This window comes from Homo sapiens, chromosome 20, assembly GCF_000001405.40.
Source record: "Homo sapiens chromosome 20, GRCh38.p14 Primary Assembly".
In the NCBI taxonomy this organism is placed as follows: Eukaryota; Metazoa; Chordata; class Mammalia; order Primates; family Hominidae; genus Homo; species Homo sapiens.
Genome location: NC_000020.11, coordinates 54,631,437 through 54,651,722, shown reverse-complemented (window position 1 = coordinate 54,651,722; position 20,286 = coordinate 54,631,437). Strand labels below are relative to the sequence as shown.

The 20,286-nt window shown below is 42.7% G+C and overlaps 1 protein-coding gene across 4 annotated transcripts in view; it reads right to left on the bottom strand.

The window, feature by feature from the left end:
- Positions 1 to 553: 553 nt before the first annotated feature.
- DOK5 (docking protein 5) overlaps positions 554 to 20,286 on the bottom strand; it is a 175,577-nt gene continuing 155,844 nt past the window's right edge. For all 4 annotated transcript variants that reach the window (NM_018431.5, NM_177959.3, XM_011528904.2 and 1 more), the window contains exons 7-8: positions 8,145 to 8,265; positions 554 to 1,308 (exon numbers count right to left, since the gene is read on the bottom strand). In NM_018431.5, coding sequence (NP_060901.2) covers positions 1,244 to 1,308; positions 8,145 to 8,265 — 186 coding nt within the window. In that variant the 3' untranslated portion in view covers positions 554 to 1,243. The remainder of the gene's footprint in view (positions 1,309 to 8,144; positions 8,266 to 20,286) is intronic.

Sequence of the window (20,286 nt, the reverse complement as noted above, 5' to 3'; positions counted from 1 at the left end):
CATATCCTGAGCAGCAGTGTGCTAGGAAATCCCAGCTAACTCAGATCTATAAAACTATGCATTGCTTATCTGAAGTTCAAATTTAATTGGGTATCCTGTATTTTATCTGGCAAAGAGTAGTGAACCAGGCAGGCGCCATCCCTGCTTGCTCTGCAGCTTTAGAGGAACTCTAACTTTAGGTGCTCACAAAATTCAACTCACATCCAGCACTGACCTTCTCTTTAGAAGTTCATGGCCACTGGGGGCCCATTTGGCAGGTGTCACTGTATGATATTTCCAACTTGATTTTCTTGTGGCACTCTTCTGGAATTAAGGTCTTTGGCAACAAAGACTGTCTTTTGATTTCTACATCCCTGAACTCCAGTACAGTGCCGGAAACTCATAGATGCTCAATACAGACCACATTAATGAATGAGTGAGCAAATGCGTGAATGGTTGGATTCATATTAGACACAACACACAATACACTCACAGCTCACATGCAAAATGTCCACACACCCTTCAGAAATACCTAGGATAGAGAAAAACATGTTGCCAGAATCCAAAGAACATATGGGTGAAGAATGATCTTTTATTTTCAAATGTTTTATGAAGAGACTCCGAACAAAATAAAGGCTTTCAAAAAGGGGGGTAAAGGGGTGAGGAAAGCATGTGAGAGAAACTGTAACCCTGTAAACAACACTAACGGGTTCTTTGAACAAATAGTTTTGAACAGAACAGATAAGAGTGAGTCGAAGCACTGATTTAACTAATTGGTGATATAATCAAATATAATTTCCAGTAGTTAATCAGAACCACAGTAATAATAACTGAGGAATAGGGTGTAAACAAATAACAAATAATTAAAAGCCATTTTATTGTCAATACTGACTGTCATACAACTGAAACACTTGGAAGGAAAATCACAAGAATCCACAAAAGGACAGATTCAGAGAAGTGCAAGGGACAAAGTATCTACAATAGAAAATCATTTCGTGACATTGACTTCTTTCTGTCCAGCTGTAAAAGAGGGAACACAGAGTCAATATCTATAGAGCACGTTTCAATTACACTAAGAATTTAAAAAAGAAAAAGAAAATAAAGAAAATTATTGTATTGCAGAGTTTTCCAATGACCACACAATTAGCCAGGACTTTAAGCTTCTTCTCTTGGTCGTCATTTCCCTTGCTGTCATTCTGTGACCTCCTGGGTGAATCTGTGGCTGACACATCACAAGTGTGTTAACAATTCTTGGCAGTTACTGTCAGTGCTCAGATCTGTAGGCTGGAAAAGTCTCTGTTCGATGAAGCTTCAGAGGGCTGGAAACATCTTTTCCAAAAAGAATTTAAAATCAACAGTTACATTTCAAGAAAGCCCACAATCAAATTAGGTGGCAACAACTTTCTCTATAACAGAAATAAGTAAATGTACTTAAGGCAGAATTTTTTCCAAAGGCCTCTCAGGATGATATGTAAATGAGTCACAGAGATTGCATGATTTACGTATCATTTGCATGTGGCCTTTGGGCTGAGCCATGGTCAGTCCATTAGCAATTATTTTCTTCCTTAATTTTTCATCTGCATCAATCCCCATATCCAGGGTATTCAGGAGAAATGAGATAGAAACAGAACTATGGAAACTTTTAGCTAGAATATTCTGGAAACCTGAGCAGCAATAAGGCAGTCTTATGCTTATACTTTGGTAATCTTGTAAATGTTAAGGAGAACTTCCTAAAATTCATTTAGCCTTTATTATTTCAGGTTTAGATTTCAGACCAAACAGAGTTTAAAAAGTCAAGAAGGCAACACACAAGATCCCTATTAGCCCCCTTTGTGACATATTAATAATATAAGGGTTGTCAAGCATTTTCTAGAAAGAGCCAGACACTAAATATTTTAGGTTTTGCAGACCATATGGTCTCATTGCGACTACTGAGCCCTGCTGCCTGTAGCACAAAAGCAGCCACAGTTAATATGTAATGAATGTCGTCCTAATAATGCTTTATTAATGAAAATAGTCAGCAGGCTGGATCTGGCTCACAAGCCATTGTTTGCCAATCCCTGTAGATAATGCGTCCCTGATTTAACAAAAACTAGAGGTTCTACTGCCACCTGCTGGCCAACGGTTACCGCAAGCAAAGAAATGTACACGGCTAGGTGAAGATCTCAGGACTCACCGCAAAGCCTTTGGAACAAACTTCCGCAGCCTTGGTGAGTAAATGTGTGGATCAAGCAGGCACAAGAAACAGGATTGCAGCCAGTGGAGCATGTCCGCCCCACCCACACACATTCAAAACAATGTTGTTTTTATTTTATTTTATTTTATTTGTATGTATTTTTTTTCGCCCCGGCTGCAGTGCAGTGGCGTGATCTCAGCTCACTGCAGCCTCAACCTCTTGAGCTCAGGTGATCCTCCCACCTCAGCCTCCCAAGTAACTGGGACCACAGGTGTGTGCCACCACACGTGACTAATTCTTGGATTTTTTGTAGGGAGGGGGTCTCGCCTACATCCACCAGCCATGTGGCCTGGAGTAAGACCTTAACCTCCAAAGGTCTCTGTTTCTTCAGTCATTGAAATGGAGACCATAGTCCCACTCTCACCAACTCCCATGGTTGTCAGGAGAACCCCATAAGGCTACATGGAAGACGCCTGGTTCAGTGACACAACTGTTTAGTGCCACTCTTTGATTTCCTCAAATTATCTTAGGTCCGATCTATGATATAGGTGCCTAGTTTTTCTTGTTTTTGTTTTGAAACAGTGATGCTATCTTCCAAGGCAATTCCCACAGAAGAGTTCGGAAAACACTGGAGCAATGAAGCACCTTGGCCTAAGGGTAAAGATTGCTGAGATGATAACTTTGAGAAGGAGGTGAGAGAGTTAGAGGAACATTGTACTGAGGCCAGACACTCCGGTGCTCATGTGCAACGGCCTTGGGGCTAGTCTCCCACTTCCTCTCCTGTTCTCTTGCAATCCCTTGAATGAAAATATCGATTAAATCTGACACTGCCATGCTGAGGACCCTCTAATGCTTCCCCTCACACTTAGAATAAGCAAGTCTTGATTACCTGTATTCACCACCCCGGCTGTCTCTTTATGTCCCTTAGGCACCAGCCACACTGGCTCCTTCCTGATCTTTGAATGCCCGCAGCTCATTTCTGACTCAGGGCCTTTGCATTTGCTGACCTCTCTATGGAGAATGCCTTCCCCTGGCTCTCGGTATGGCTGCCTCTTTTAGACTTAAGGTCTTGGGGTGTTGCAGGGGCTTCCACTGACTACCCCATCTCAAGAAGTCCCTTTGTCAGCATCTTCTCAAAACCAACAGCTCTGCCTCACTTTCTTTATCATAAAAACTTTCTTTTCCACTGTTCCATATACCAAATCTGAAATTAACTATGTCTGCTTGATTATGGATTGTGACTCTCCATTAGATTATAAGCTCCGAGAGGGAAGGAATATCCCTGCCTAGGAGTCCCAGGTATGTCTGTCATCTAGCACAGCGCTTGGCCTAAACTAGATGCTCAATAAACGTTTACTGAGTAAACAAAGAATGGATGGATGGAAGAATGAGAGAGAAAAACCTTAAAATCTTTGTTACTTACTAGATAGGTAGTCTTGGACCCATTAATAACCCTTCAAATTCTCAGTTTCCTAACAGCAAATGAGAATAAAATACCCTTTCGGGCAGCTGTTTTGGGATCTAAATGAGATCATGTATGTTAGGTCCCAGCGGAAAGCTGGTACACAGTAGGTCCTCAGAAAGAGTAGCTTTTAGAAAGACCCCATTGAATATGGCTTGTCTCCCTCGTAATGATGAAATCTGAGATTTCAGCACTGCACTGGTGGCACGTGAATGCTTATTCATATAACAAGAAGGAAAAGAAGTTTCATGTCCAAATAGATGTGCAGAGCTTTGGTTTAAACAAGTTTAATCAGGTTTTTCATTGCAGGGCATCTCAGAGCCCTGAAATTATTGATTTGTTTTCTGACTCTCCATGAGAACTTAACATGTAGCATTTCCCCCAGACGCGTTTGACCACAGTAACCTTTCTTAGGGGAAAGGTGCTGTCTACCAGAGTTAGCTTTCCAAGGAACATAATTTGGGAAATGCTACTGATGTAACTGCTGTTATTTTATCCAATGCATTCCTAAAAGAATCCAGTGAATAGTATTCAACATAAACTTGTTGATTGCTTCTGTAAGTTTCTTCCATAGTTTTTTTGTTTTTTTTTTTTTTAACTGAGACAGAGTTTCACTCTTGTTGCCCAGGCAGGAGTGCAGTGGCATGATCATGGCTCACTGCAACCTCTGCCTCCTGGGTTCAAGCGATTCTCCCACCTCAGCTTTCCGAGTAGCTGGAATTACAGGCGCCCGCCACCATGCCCAGCTAATTTTTGTATTTTTAGTAGAGGTGGGGTTTCACCATGTTGGCCAAGCTTGTCTTGAACTCGAGATCTCAGGAGATCCACCCAACTCGGCCTCCCAAAGTGCTGTGATTACAGGTGTGAGCCACCACGCCCAGACAGTTTTCATTATAAACCTACTTCCAATGTTGATTTTGTATCTGCATAATCATAGAAGAGAATTTCTATGAAAATTTTAAAACGACGTGGGAGAAGCAGTGAAGGTAGATTAGGTATGTCTTGTGTGGCACGTGTCAAAACCAGCCACCTCCCTTTCCCCACCAAAAACTGTAGTAAAATGATAATTCCCAAATCAACCAGCAGGGGGCTCTCGAAGACTACATTTGAAGAAAATGACCATTATTCTCAAACCAATTTGTTAAATTCCTCCTTAAGGGTCTGTATGATTTCCAACCTTAACCTCCAGATTTGCCAGAAAAAAAAAAAAAAAGCCTGAAATTCATCAATGTAGGTGAATTGGCCAGAGGAATTACAACCCATAATCATCAGCAAAACAAGAAGAAATTAAAGGCTCTGTAACTTCATCATATGGCACACCCCAGGCCCCCAAGTCATTAACTTTTCCCAATCCTATTTCCTTTTTCTAAGGGGTATGAAAAGTAGGGGAGAGGGAAGGTAGGTAGTATAGGTAGAAGAATAAAACTTTTTTTTTAAATGTACTTGTTTAAATAGCCACTTTTGATAAGCAAGATAATTTTAGGTACTCTGTGAACATCTTTTAAATCTTCAATACTTATTATTTATTTTATTGTCTATTAAAAAGCATAACTAGCTGGGTGCAGTGGCTGATATCTATAATTCCAGCACTTTGGGAGGCCGAGGCAGGAGGACTACTTGAGCTCAGAAGTTTGAGACCAGTCTGGGCAACATAGTAAGACACCCTCTCTACTAAAAATAATAAATTAGCTGGGCTTGGTGGCACACACCTGTAGTCCCAGCTATTTGGTAGGCTAAGGCAGGAGGATCACTGGTGCCCAGGAGGTTGAGACTGCAGTGAGCCATGATCGCACCACTGCACTCCAGCCTAGGCGAAGAGCCAGACCCTGTCTCAAAAAAAAAAAAAAAAAAAAAAAACAGTATAACCAGTGGATATAACAGTATTAAGGTAGTAAAATATGCTTTTTTTAAAGAAGTATATTAAAATAGAAGAGAGTAAAATCGAGTAACATTCTGGTATGTATATGACAAAAATTGTGATGATATAACTCAAATATTGCAAACATTTTTGAAGTTTAAGTGAGAATCAGTGGCATTGTGACAACCCAATCTAACTCACTCTCTCTGCAGAGAAATCTTGGAAGGTAAGCTTATTTGTCAATTATTAATTCAGTCGTTTGCTCAGCTGCTCACAGAGGCACTCAGTATCTTTTTTTTTTTTTTTTTTTTTTTTTTTTTTTGCAGCATCTGCTATGTGCCATGCTCTCTGCTAGTGAACAGAGCACAGAGTCATGAAAACTAAAATGTAAATACCCCCAGTGCTTTCTTAACATTATGCATTCTTTCGACAAATCCTGATGGAAGGCATACAAGGTGCCGGGGGATAAAATGATAAAGATAGAAGGAGGCACAGCTCTCCTGCCCTCCTGTACATTATTGCTTCCTGGGAGAGCTGACCATGAGTCAATTGGCCACATAAATATGAAATGAAAACCGGCCATCATCTGCATCTTATGAGTGCACGTCATCAGAGATGTCCACTCCAGTTACAAGAAAGTCCTGAGGGCTTTCTTGGAGCCTGAGGGGCGCTGGAGGTGAGACCTGGAGGTGAGCAGGAGTTAACTAGGATGAGGGACGGGCGCAGCATACAGGAAAAGCTGCCTGGGGGAGAAAGGACCAACAGCAAAGACTGAGAAAAAAATGCTGTTGTGACCAGGGTTCAGAGCGGGCATGGAGGACTGAGGGTTCAGAGCGGGCATGGAGGACTGAGGGTTCAGAGCGGGCATGGAGGACTGAGGGTTCAGAGCGGGCATGGAGGACTGAGGGTTCAGAGCGGGCATGGAGGACTGAGGGTTCAGAGCGGGCATGGAGGACTGAGGGTTCAGAGCGGGCATGGAGGACTGAGGGTTCAGAGCGAGCATGGAGGACTAAGGCCATAGTCTTCCATGGTCATTCATTCATTCTTGCATTCAATTATTCAGCAAATTTCTGCACGTAAACTACGTGTAGTCCAGTGCACTCTATTTCCAGTTTGGTGGTCTTGTACCTCATCATTAAAGAGTTTTTTTGCGCGGAACTTGCAGTGAGCCGAGATCGCGCCACTGCAGTCCAGCCTGGGCGACAGAGCGAGACTCTGTCTCAAAAAAAAAAAAAAAAAAAAAAAAAAAAGAGTTTTTTTACAAGTATCCCCCACAAAGGCGCATAACATAATAAGCTATTCTTATGTACTATGAAATGAAAAACAAAACAAAACAAATATGTTTGAAAGGATAGGTTTAAATAGAATTTTTTTTTTTTGAGATGGAGTTTTGCTCTTGTTGCCCAGGCTGGAGTGCAATGGTGCAATTCTGGCTCACTGCAACCACCGCCTCCCAGGTTCAGGTGATTCCCCTGACTCAGCTGGGATTACAGGCACATGCCACCACGCCCAGCTAAATTTTGTTTTTTTTTTTTTTTTTTTGAGACGGAGTCTCTCTCTGTCACCCAGGCTGGAGTGCAGTGGCGCTATCTCGGCTCACTGCAAGCTCCGCCTCCCGGGTTCACGCCATTCTCCTGCCTCAGCCTCCCGCGTAGCTGGGACTACAGGCGCCCGCCACCACGCCCGGCTAATTTTTTTGTGTTTTTTAGTAGAGACGGGGTTTCACTGTGTTAGCCAGGATGGTCTCGATCTCCTGACCTCATGATCCGCCCGCCTCGGCCTCCCAAAGTGCTGGGATTACAGGCGTGAGCCACTGCGCCCGGCCTTGTATTTTTTTTAGTAAAGACAGGGTTTCACCATGTTGGCCAGGCTGGCCTTCAACTCCTGACTTCAGGTGATCTGACCGCCTTGGCCTCCCAAAGTGCTGATATTACAGGCGTGAGCCACCACGCCTGGCCATTTTAAGCAGATTTTTTCATTGTTCATGTTGTCCACACTATGGGCTGTTCTGCATCATGCTTCAGAGACCACTTCTCTAGAAGAAGAGCTTACTAGGATTTGCCTAAAGTCATTCAGCAAACCTGAAGCCATGGCTTCTGGCCTCAGTCCAGGGCCCCATCCACCAAAACATTGGCTCCTAGACCTGAGCTCTCGGGAGAATCACCTGGAGGACTTGTTCAAATACAGGTGGCCTGGCCCCACCCTCAGAGCTCCTGATTCAGTAGGTCTGGGGAAGGGCATGGAAATTTGCATTTCTAGCAAGACTTCAAGTAATGCTGATGCTGTGATTCATCAGTCCACTACATCATTTCTTGTAGCCTGGTCCCTGGCCCCTCGCCCAGACCCTGTGTACGGTCTGTTAAAAGTGCAGATTGCTCAGCCACATCCTATGCCTTAAGATCTAGAGTCTCTGGGGATGAAACCCAAGAATCTTCATTTTAAGTGACTTCCCCCCGGACACTGTGATAGATACAAATATCTCTAGAGCCATACAGATATTTGGCTCTACAAAGATTAAGTGCCTCGTGTGTGAGGCCTTGATGGGGGTCCTACCTTTGGAGGAAGGGCACTAACCAGCTGGCATGCAGCAGCTGCGAGTTGAGCTGAGCCCCCTCCCCAGTACTCCCAGGCCTGGCCCACACCCTGGACACAGGTAGCCCCACGCTTACCTTGCAAGCGGTAGAGCTGTCCCGTGCTGTGCTGCCGTGTGATGTGCTGCCAGTAGGCGCTGCGAGGCAGGGGCACCATGGTGCTCAGCGAGGCGGCCCGCTCACTCATCTTCATCTGGAGCTGCAGCCAAAGGGAAGAAAGTTGTGCGTCAGCAACACTGGGGCCGAAAGTGGCCTGACTGAGGAAACAGGAGAGCATGGAGTAAAAGAACCACAGAGCTGGCCAGGCTGCAAATCAATGAACATCGATTGAAGGTGGTGGGCATGGTGGCCAGCTACTGTTTTTGCTTACTTAGCACCATCCATTCTTTACCCTGCTGGCAACAGTGCCTTGATGACGTTCCTTTGGGGAACTTCCCTCCAACCCAGCTAAGTCCCTCTAGTCCCGGTGGGGCTGATTCCCCCATTCACTTTAGGGTTGGGCTGGTGACCCATGCCAGACCACTCCGAAATAATTTACTGAGACATTGTTAGCATTTTTGTGGAAGAGAGAATCAGCAGAAGTAAGCTAAAGATTTATGACTGTTTTGTTCATTGATCTATCCCCAGAGTGCAGAATATTGCCTTGCATGTAATAGATATACAAGTAACATGTGTTGAATGATTTCTCGTGGAGTTGTTAAGAGGCTGGAGATGGGACTGGAGCCTATCTTGGAACTACAAAGGGACCACGTGACAGTGAGTAGACACCATTCAGAAGAAGACAGCCAAGAAAAGCAGAGAGATCTTCACACACTCCACTGAGACCTTGGATCCCACTGAATCCAGAGGCTGGCCCCAGACTTTTCAATTGTATTAGCCATTTCATTCTTTTCAGTTTGGGGTTTTTCTGTTTTGTTTTGTTTTTGTTTTTTTTCAGATGGAGTCTTGCTCTGTCAGCAAGGCTGGAGTGTGGTAGCACGATCACAGCTCACTGCAACCTCCGCCTCTGGGCTCAAGCAATTCTCCTGCCTCAGCCTCCTGAGTAGCTGGAAGTACAGGTACATGCCACCACGCCCGGCTAATTTTTCTTTTTTTTTTTTTTTTTTTGTATTTTTAGTAGAGATGGGGTTTCTCCATGTTGGCCAGGCTGATTTCGAACTCCTGACCTCAGGTGATCCACCCACCTCGGCCTCCCAGAATGTTAGGATTACAGGTGTCAGCCACCACACCCAGCCTAATTCTTGTCAGTTTAAACTGACTTGTGTTGGGTGTTCTGGCATCAGAAAGAAAAAATAAAAGTCTGTTTGAACAAGTATTGTCGACAAATCATTGTTCCAGACATTGAGGGAGGAAAAAAGATGAAATGGCTTTTGGCAGCAGGCAACTCTAAAGACACAGTTCTAGTCCCCCAGATTATCAGAGAGCAGTCAACAGCCTGACCAACCACATCGGGGAAAGAATTATACAAAAGAAGGAAAGTTTCAGAGAGAAAAGAGCCTGTAGGATGGGTAGAATAAAAGGAAAGGTGAACGGGGTCAACGCATGCAAGAAGAATGGGGGTGCAAGTGGAAGCAGACCTCCAGGCACCCCCGTATCTGAGCCCTGGTCTTAGACACAATCATGACGCAGGTTGATTATGCCATTGTGTAAGAAGTGACTATTTGCAAAGTTGAATTTCCTGGATGCTTGAATATCAAATAATCCATTCCCATCTTTAAAAAAATTCACCCACAAAGATTTATGCAAGATGTTCATTGGGAGGTAATTTCACATTGGCGAGAGCTGACGGCTATTTAAGTATCCTCCCATTCAAGGCCCAGTTAACTACACATAGGCACAATGTAATACTTGGCAAAGATGGAAGATTTACATGAATTGGAAATGAAACATTTATATGTCGTACCACGAAGGAGACACAGGGGGTTACAGACCTAGTGCAATGTCATTTTAGTTGCTCATATGAAAATTGTCGAAATTATACACCTATCCATTTGGAAAGTATAAGAGTTTGATGAGATGATACCTACTTGGACTTACCTAGTAACAAATAGGTAAAGGGGAAAAATGGAGATGGAGATGATGATGATGATGATGATGATGATGATGATGATGATGATAATTAGAAATTGCAATGCCCATGTTAGGATTTTTTTTTTAAAAATTTCCAATCTCTTAAAGAAAAAAAAGTCTCCACTGTACACATCCCCTCAGCATGGTAGTTTCAGGCATAATTCACTCAGTAAAGCCAAAATAATAGGAGGCTTCATATGTTGAAGACCAAAACTCATTGTAGTTCATGAGATTCAACTTGAAAAAAAGATTATAATATTCACTCAAAAGAAAATTTAATTTGTATGCATTGAATTTACATTTGCTGAATCGAATTCCCTGTCCCTATCATAATTCCACAATTACCAAAACATGCCCCCAAGTGGAATCACACAGGATTAGATTCCATGAGGATAACTTTTCCTAAAAATAAACTTTTAGATGAAAAGGTCCAAAAGCTAAGTACTAAGCTAGTAGAAAAGTTCTGCAGCTGTTTCTTGTTTTTAATTTTTAAAATGTATTTTTAATGGACAAATAATAAGTATGCATATTTATAGAGTACAATGTGATGTTTTGATCTATGTACATACTATAAAAAAATTCATTTGAGCTAATTAACATATCCCTCACCTCGTCAGCTTCTCATAGTGGTTATTTCTGTATACATGAAAGTCTAAAAAAATCCAGAACGATTTACCAGTGACTTTTAGTAACATTCTATTTCATTTGCATGGAATTCAAAAAATAAAAGAAGGAAAAGAACTCAATTTAGAGGTAGGGGTTATTTGATTTTCTTGATATAAAGAGATTCTATTTAATTTAACAGAAAATTTCATATAAAGAAAACATTTGTGGAATACTAGTCACTTCAAATTATTCACTACTTCACTGCAAATATATTTAGGCAGCCCAGCATGATTTGACTGTATTTTCAGAAAGCTGATTTGGGATCAAGAGTGAAATGACAGCAACGCCGCGTTTTGAAGAGGAGAACGGTACAAAGCCGGGCTCTCTAGTTCTTTCTCAACCCTTTGGAAAAACATCTAATTTTATGAAAGAAGCATTTTAATTGTCTTTGGACAAAAAGAAAAGCCTTATAACAATGCAGAAATGTCTGCATAATTGTGTCAGGGAGAAAAGACGCAGGAAGTCATTTGGTGAGAATCCAGTAGGCAGGTTTCCGCTCCCTCTTCTGTGACGCCCTGAGTCCCTCTATCCTTGATATCAACCACCAGTGGAGGGCCACAAGTGGCACTGATGTACCGCCCTGGTGGAAATAGCAGTTAGCACTCATGTTTGGAAGAGTTGAAATTGGGTTACCTGGAGCGCCGCAGGTCCTCAAATAACGTCAATGCATTCAGCTTTGTTTCATTACAACTTCAATGTGAATATAGAAATCTGTTCCTGGCAGGGTCACTGTCTGTGTCGATTTGGCACGTTCTCCCCATGCCTGCTTGTGTTTTCTCTGGGTCCTCCGCTTTCCTTTCATATCCCAAAACTGCCTGTTGGCTTCACTGGTGTGTCTAAATGGTCCCTGTCTCAGTGGGTGTGGGTATGGGTGAGTGTGTCCTGAGACGGGAGGGCATCCTGTCCAGGCTGGGTCCCATTTGGCACCCAGAGCTGCAGAGATGGTGGGCTCTGGCCACCCGTGACCCTGAACTGGAACCACTGGGTAAATAATCGTCTTGTTTTGATTAATCTTTTCTCAAATGTACGTATAGCTCACATTTATTTCAATGTGTAATATTAGAAGTGTTTTTGTCTTTATCTAGAAGTTTGGTAATGTTTTTGTAACCAGAAATATGCCATAGGAATTTAACTCTTCTTTATTTCAATCAGCCTACGGGAAAATTGGTTTTGCTGTATGTCCTTCTGCTAAAGCCACAGAATCTATCAACAACATTAAATGAGGATTTAGTGTATTTGGAGAGAAGGATTACAGTCTTCCTACTTAAAAAATATATTTTTATATAGTTTTTTTTTTACAATAGATATAATATCTTCACATTAACAAGTAAAAATAAAAATTACCCTGAGCCATAGAATTGTAAAGTATGGGGATTTCCCCTGTAAGGTGACACAGAAGTTCTTGAAAAACCTCCCATTCACAAAATTGTGGGAAAATTCAGGGGGTGGGTTGGCCATTCAAATGTATGCCTATTTACAACCAGAGTCATTGTTACTTTGGGGGATAGTTTGCACAGCCCAGCTAGACTGGAGGTTGATTTGGGGTTATAAAAAATGTAGAAAACACTTGATTGGAAGTGCCAGCTTGAGGAAGTCCAGGTGACAGAGGTAGAGAAGGGGCTATTGCAGAAAGCTGGCAATGGTGGCTGTGCAGCCACATGAACAGGAGCTGAGCAAGACTGCAAAGGCTGGGCACACCCCTTTATAGGGAGGGAGTCCAGGGACTTGTGCTCATGGTTCATCTTCTGGAAGAGGCCATGCCTGTGCACCAGTCTGTAAGTACCTTTTCCTATCCAGCTTAAGGTTACAATTTCACTCCTTCTAATCTGGGCTTCCCTTTCTTAGAAAAAATTGCTTAGGAACCAACACAACCTTAATATTGTAGTGAATTTCCAATTTTTCAAATACATCTGAGCTCAGTGGCAATATAGAAGTGGTGTGGCTGGGCGCAGTGGCTCCTGCCTGTAATCCTAGCACTTTGGGAGGCTGAGGTGGATGGATCATGAGGTCAGGAGTTCAAAACCAGCCTGGCCAACATGGTTGAAACTCCGTCTCTACTAAAAATACAAAAGTTAGCCAGGCATGGTGGCAGCGAGCTGAGATCATGCCACTGCGCTCCAGCCTGGGCAAAAGAGCGAGACTCAGTCTCAAAAAAAAAAAAAAAAAAAGAAAAGAAAAGAAATGGTGTTATGGTGGAACAAACTGTATACTACACGTGACCCATACTCCTGACCCCGTATAACCTACTAAAATCATGTCCCTGGACTCTATAAAAAACAACCACAAAAATTACAAATAACCCATTTTGTTTCCTATGTCAGAAAAACTTAAAAGAATCATGGAACGTTAGAGTTGGAAGAACCATGGGGGACATCCAGCCTAGTCTCCTGAGTTAACCGGTCAAGGGACTATATATCCTCATGCTAACGGCCAAACTTCTTAGATTGGGGGGCTCTGATCTTGACACCCTTCCCTTCTCAGGCCTCAACATAGCCTAAACCACACCATTCAGCCCAGGCATTTCCAAGAGCCTGGAAATCCATTGCACATCTGCTCCTAAGCCCAAAGGTTCTCCCCATTACTTATGTGGTTAAATTCTACCTTCCCTTCAGGAGTCAGCTCAGGAATCACCTCCTTTAGATACTCTCCTGATGTCTCTTCTCCTCCCTTAATAGGATCAGGTGCTTCTACCAGATATCTCATCATTTCACTGTTTTGTGATAGTCACTAACCTAGCCTTCCTTCTGCTCTAGACCATGAACTGCTGAAAAGTAGGGATTATCTTTTTTTTTTTTTTTCGAGACAGAGTCTCGCTCTGTCACCCAGGCTGGAATGCAGTGACATGATCTCGGCTCACTGCAAGCTCCGCCTCCCGGGTTCACACCATTCTCCTGCCTCAGCCTCCCAAGTCACTGGGACTACAGGTGCCCGCCACCACGCCTGGCTGATTATTTGTATTTTTAGTAGAGACGGGGTTTCACCGTGTTAGCCACGATGGTCTTGATCTCCTGACCTTGTGATCTGCCCGCCTTGGCCTCCCAAAGTGCTGGGATTACAGGCGTGAGCCACCGCGCCCGGCCAAAGTAGGGATTATCTTTTATCTCTGTATCCTATTCCCAGCACCTAGCTAGAGCCTTCAGAGGCTTAACAAATGTGTGATGAATGAATGAATGAATGAATGAACCCAGGATTTGCCTAAGTAGCAGAAAATTGTCTTCAAAAATAAATCCTAACCAAGCTATCAAATTAGAAGCACTGTTAGCCCAAGGCTGAATTCATGCTGAAACTTTAGGTCCCGGTTAAATTAACATGGCTGTGACTGACTGTGGGGAACGTGGCAATAAGACTACTTCACTCGACTTTGCCATTCAAGTGATGAGCAGAAGCAGGACCTTGGGGAAAGATCTTTCTTATGTGTATATGCACAATCATTTAGGACTATCCAACAGCAGGGGAGTTTAGCACTGAACATTTATTAATTCTATTAGCAGTGTTAGCTCAAGATCCCACAAGAGTAGAAAGACAAGCCTTTGTGAAAGTCAAACAAATGCCTTCTTGTACTTCAACACTTGAACTTTCCCTCTAAACAGCATGAATGCATGCAGGTCTCTTCCTAACCTGGCCTAAGTGAGTCAAGATGCTGCCTGGTGGCATAAAATACTTAAAGCAATCAATCGACTTATGTCATCAATTGGGTTCTGAATGCACAAAAAGCATCATGCTGCTGGGGAGAGAAGCTAACCATGCAGTACGAGACCCATGTTACAATGTAGAAGCAGAAGACGCTTTGCTTCATGGGAGTTGCTTGGGCTTACAGGTCTCTTTTCTCATGGAACTAAGAGACCTGTGATGAAACTGTATACAAATTAACAAAAATATTCAGATTGCTATAAAAAGAAGAATGAAGTTCTGATATGTGCTACAACATGTATGATTCTGAAAACAATGTGCTAGTCATGAAAGTCCAGGGATTATGTTATTCCATGCTATGGTTTGAATGTTTGTCCCCCCCAAAAGTCCTGTTGAAATTTAATTGTCTCGTGACTGTTTTGGGAGGCGAAACCTTTCAAAGGGGCTGCCATTATCTTGGGAGTTCGTTTGTAACCATCTAATGAGTTATTCCTGCCCATTGCACAAATAAAATCAATTCATGGAGATCATGGCATTGCAGTAAAGAAAGAGCTTAATTGATGTGAGGTCAGACACACCACGTGGGAAATGGAGTTATTAGTCAAATCAATCTCACCGAAGGCTCAGAGGTCAGGAGTTTTTTAAAGACAGTTTGGCAGGCAAGGGGTTAGGGGATGGGGGCTGCTGATTGGTTGGAAATGCAATCATAAGGGTGTGGAAAATGGTCCTCATATGCTGAGCCCACTTCTGGGTGGGACCACAGGACTAGTTGAGTTACAGGTCTAGTGGGGCCATCTGGTTGTCAGAAATGCAAAAATCTGAACAGCCATCTCAAAAGGCCAATCTCAGGTTCTGCAATAGTGATATTATTTGCAGGAATAATTGGGGAAGTTGCAAATCTTGTGGCCTCCAGTATAATGTCCGGTCATTTTTAAACTACATCTAAATCTTAGAAGAACTGAGGCCCCTCTCATCCTCCTAACTTGGCCTTTCATTAATTTTACAAGGGCAGTTTAGTTTCAGGGAAGGGCTATTATCATTTAAACTATAAACTAAATTTCTCTTAAAGTTAGCTTGGCCCATGCCCAGGAATAAATGAAGGCAGCCAGCCTGTGAGGCTAGAATCAAGATGGAGTCAGCCATGTCAGATTTCTTTTACTGTCATAATTTTTCAAAGGCGGTTTCAGGTGTATTATTGCAGGAGTAGGTTCATCCCCTCTTGGTCTCTCTTCCGGCCCTCTCTGCTCTTTCACCACTTGATACTTTCCACCATGTTATGACACAACAGGAAGGCCTTTTCCAAGATGCCAGCACCTTGATCTTGGACTTCCCAGCCTCTAGAACTATAAGAAGTAAATTTCTGTTCATTATAAATTACCCAGTCTTTGGTATTCTGTTATAGCCGTAAAAATAAACTAAGATATTCCATTTACATAAAATGTCCCAAATAAACAAATCCCTAGAGAGAACATAGATCAGTGGTTGCTGAGGCCTAGAGGGTACTGTCAAAAATATTTGAGAAGATTTATTCTGAGCTAAATATGAGTGACCATAGCCCATTGACAAAGCCCCACAAGATCCTGAGAACATCTGCCCAAGGTGGTTGGGCTACAGCTTGGTTTTATATGTTTTAGGGAGACATAAGACATCAATCAATACATATAAGATGAACATTGGTTTGATCCAGATAGGTGAGACAACTCCAAATGGGGGCTTCCAGGTCATAGGTAGATTCAAAAATTTTCTGATTGGCAATTGGTTGAAGGAATTTATCGAAAGGCCTGGAATTAACAGAAAGGAGTATCTGAGTTAAGGTAAGGGGTTGTGGAGACCAAGGTTTTTATGATGCAGATGAAGCCTTCAGGTGCCAGGCTTCAGAGAGAAGAGATGGTAAATATATCCTATCAGAATTAAAAGGGCACCAGACTCTTAGTTAATTCTCTCCTGGATCAGAGAAAACACCTGAAAAGGGAAGAAGATTCTCTACAGAATACAGATTTTCCCCACAAGAGACAGCTTTGCAGGGTCATTTCAAAATATGTCAAATAATATATTTTGGAGTAAAATACTTAAATGTCTTTCAGGGCCTGCTATCTCTCATGTTAGTATCTTACTCCTACAAAGAGTCTGTTTTGTCAGTCTTGAGGTCTCTGTTTTAATGTTAATGCTGGTCAGTTTTGCCTGAACTCCAAAGGGAGGAGGGTATCATGAGGCATGTCTGACCCCCACTTCCCATCATGGGCTGAACTGGTTTTTCAGGTTAACTTTTGAATGTCCTTAGCAGAGAACAGGAGTTCTTCCAGTTGGCTGAAGAGCTTAGAATTTTATTTTTGGTATCCAGGGGTGATAGCTAAAGGAGGTGGGGTTTCTTCTTAGGGTGATGAAAATGTTTTGGAATCAATTGTGATAGTTTCACAAACCTGACTACATTAAAACCATTAAATTGTACAGTTTGAAAGGGTACATGTATATGGTATGGTACGTGTGGTATGTTCATATCTCAATAAACCTGTTACCAAAAAAAAAAAAGCAGATAGTAGTATATGCCCTGAAGATTATTTTAAAAGCATGATATTAATCCCGGCACTTTGGGAGGCCGAGGCAGGAGGATCACGAGGTCAGGAGATCGAGACCATCCTGGCTAACACGGTGAAACCTCATCTCTACTAAAAATACAAAAAATTAGCCGGGCATGGTGGCGGGCGCCTGTAGTCCCAGCTACTCAGGAGGCTGAGGCAAGAGAATGGCGTGAACTCGGGAGGCAGAGCTTGTAGTGAGCCGAGATCGCACCACTGCACTCCAGCCTGGGTGACAGAGGGAGACTCCATCTCAAAAAAAAAAAAAAAAAAAAAAGCATGATATGATGAATTAGTTGAGTGGCTACTTCTGGTCAAGCAGCCCCAGAAAAAGTAACATTGAATGAAGACCTGACCGACAACTGGCTGAAGCATGGTCCCCTGCCCCCGCCCCCACCCTGCCGTCATTATTGTCATTAACAGCACAGTAAAAGCCTTGTAAAAACTTCCCAATACTCACAGTGAGTGAAGGGCTGATTGCCAAGGCCCTTTCCTCATAATGGTGAGAAAATTCTATCAGCCCTCTTGGGAGAGAAAAAGATTCTAATGACCGGACCACTGCGCATAGCTTGTCACTGAGAAAAGAAAAACAACTGTCTGCCATACCTGCCAAATGCATTTCTGGTTTCCCAGTTCCTCATTTGGTTTCGCTGACACTGACTTGCTGCTGGTGCACTTCTTTCATGAGTCTGAGACCAGGAGTGCAGAGCAGTGGCAGGTCTTAGCCTCAATACTGCACCATATTGTCCTTCTCTGGAATCCAACTGTTTTTATGGTAGAGCATTGTGTTTTGCAAAATTGAACAGCACGACAGGATGTAATTGTTTTCTGCGACAGTCAATCATGAGTACCATATGCCGTCTTTGTGACATCAGTCTGGATTCATTCAGAAACGAGCACAAATCTTCACTATGGCAAAAAGATCAGTACCTCAATACCTAATTCCATCCTCATCAAGCTCTTAAATTTTCATCAGGTTGCTCCTTAAAGTATTAATAACTCAAGTGGGGTCTTTGCCAATAACAACTCTGCATATGCAAATCGTATTGTAATTTTCCTTTCATTCAACCTGGGCCCTAAAGCGACTGAATAAAGACACTGTCTTGATAAGATTCAGCTGAGTCAGAAGCCACATCCACGCCTGAACACATTCTCAACCTGAGAAACTTCCAATTCTAATCATATCTTCCGTTTCATATATGTAACCCAACTAATTTTCTATCAATATTTCAAGCACAAAACATGGGCAAAGTTGAGTCAGAAGGGACATCTCAGTCCAAGAGAGAAAGAATAAAACCACATTCCAAGTGAAGCCAGCCTCTGAATACCTGCTTTTCTCATTCTGCTGAAATCTCGGCTCTCATCTACACTACCCTCCACATTCACTGCCATTCTCCAGGTGGCTTCCTGAACAATATCTTTGGGTTCTGCCTACTTATTCTCTTGTGAAAATAATATTTGAAAACATGATCTCCCTATGCTTTCTGGGCCCTGGGTCAGCAGTTCAGCTATCCAACGGCAAGCAGAAGCATTACCTGGAGGGTTTGTTCAAATGCAGATTCCTGGCCCCACTCCTAGAATTTCCAAGGGTGGAGCCCAGGCATTTGTTTTTTTTGTTTTTTGTTTTGTTTTGTTTTGTTTTTGAGATGGAGTTTTGCTCTTGTCACCCAGGCTGCAGTGCAATGGCGCGATCTCAGCTCACTGCAACCTCTACCTCCCGGGTTCAAGCGATTCTCCTGCCTCAGGAGAAGCTGGGATTACAGGGACGCACCACCACGCCTGGCTAATTTCTGTATTTTTAGTGGAGATGAGGTTTTACCATGTTGGCCAGGCTGGTCTCAAACTCCTGACCTCAGGTGCTCCACCCGCCTTGGCCTCCCAAAGTGCTGGGATTCCAGGTGTGAGCCACTGCTCCCGGCCAGGAATTTGTATTTTGTAACAAGTTCCCAGATGGTTTTGATCTTAATGATTTAGGAACCATGCTTTGAGAATTACTGTCCTGTGCTATTTATTACCTTTAGAACAATCATTCTGGGAAATTTTCCACGGTGGTAAGAGCCCACGTGAAAGTCACAAAATCTGAGTTAAAGTCTAGAATCTGCCACTAATAGCTGCATGACCCTAGGCTCATTATTTAATCTCCCTTAGTCCTCAATATCTGGTCAGTAAAAAAGAGAGAAAATAGTTCTCGCTTTGCAGCTAATTCTTAGGCCACGCATAATTTATTGTGGAGTTCCATGGTTATTGCCAATATTTAGAATTAGCTCTATATCATGATACTGTCTTTAACAAGAATTTCTGAACAAGGTCATAATAGAAGCATTCATATTTTCTTTTCAAATCTAAATATCTGATATTGGACTGTTTTTCTAGCTTGAGGGCAGAAACCTTAAAATATTTTTAGGCAACAACGACAAAAAGCCATACATAAAACCACCAAATAATATGCTTAGAGAATACATTGAATCACCTGGTTTCAGTGAGTGTACAATGAATCCAAGGAACAAGCCTGAGTTAAGATGTTACTATAGGCATGGAACCATTGCAGGAACAAGAAAAAAGCAAAAAAGCTCTAAGCCCTCACATTCAGCCACGACCCCTGCAGGGAGTTTACAGTCTCCAAGACAGCTCTATCTTTGGGTCTGGTAGTATTTTGCCTGGCACCAAAAAGCGGGGAGGGGTCCATGTTTTTGTGATATTTATTACCCATTACCATTTTGTTGTTGTTGTTTTGTTTTGTTTTTGAGACGGAGTCTTGCTCTGTTGCCAGGCTGGAGTGCAATGGTGCAATCTTGGCTCACTGCAACCTCTGCCTCCCGGGTTCAAGCGATTCTCCTGCCTCAGCCTCCCCAGTAGCTGGGACTACAGGCACGTGCCACAATGCCCAGCTAATTTTTGTATTTTTACTACAGGCGGGGTTTCACCATGCTGGCCAGGATGGTCTCGATCTCTTGACCTTGTGATCCGCCCACCTCGGCCTCCCAAAGTGCTGGGATTACAGGTGTGAGCCACTGCGCCTGGCCTATTACACATTTTTTAACATGTAATAAATTATGTTCTTCCTTTTGCTATATTTTTTATTATGTTCATAAAATACAGGAAAACATATAAGGTAGATTTTAAATCAACCCGTATCCATTACCCAGAAAAACAAAACAAGGAAATAAAAACCACTTTTGACATATTGGTATATTTTCTCCCAGCCAGATAGCCTGGCTGGCTGCCTGCCTCCCTCCCTCTCTCCTTCTCTCCCTCCCTTCCTTCCTTCCTTTCTTTCC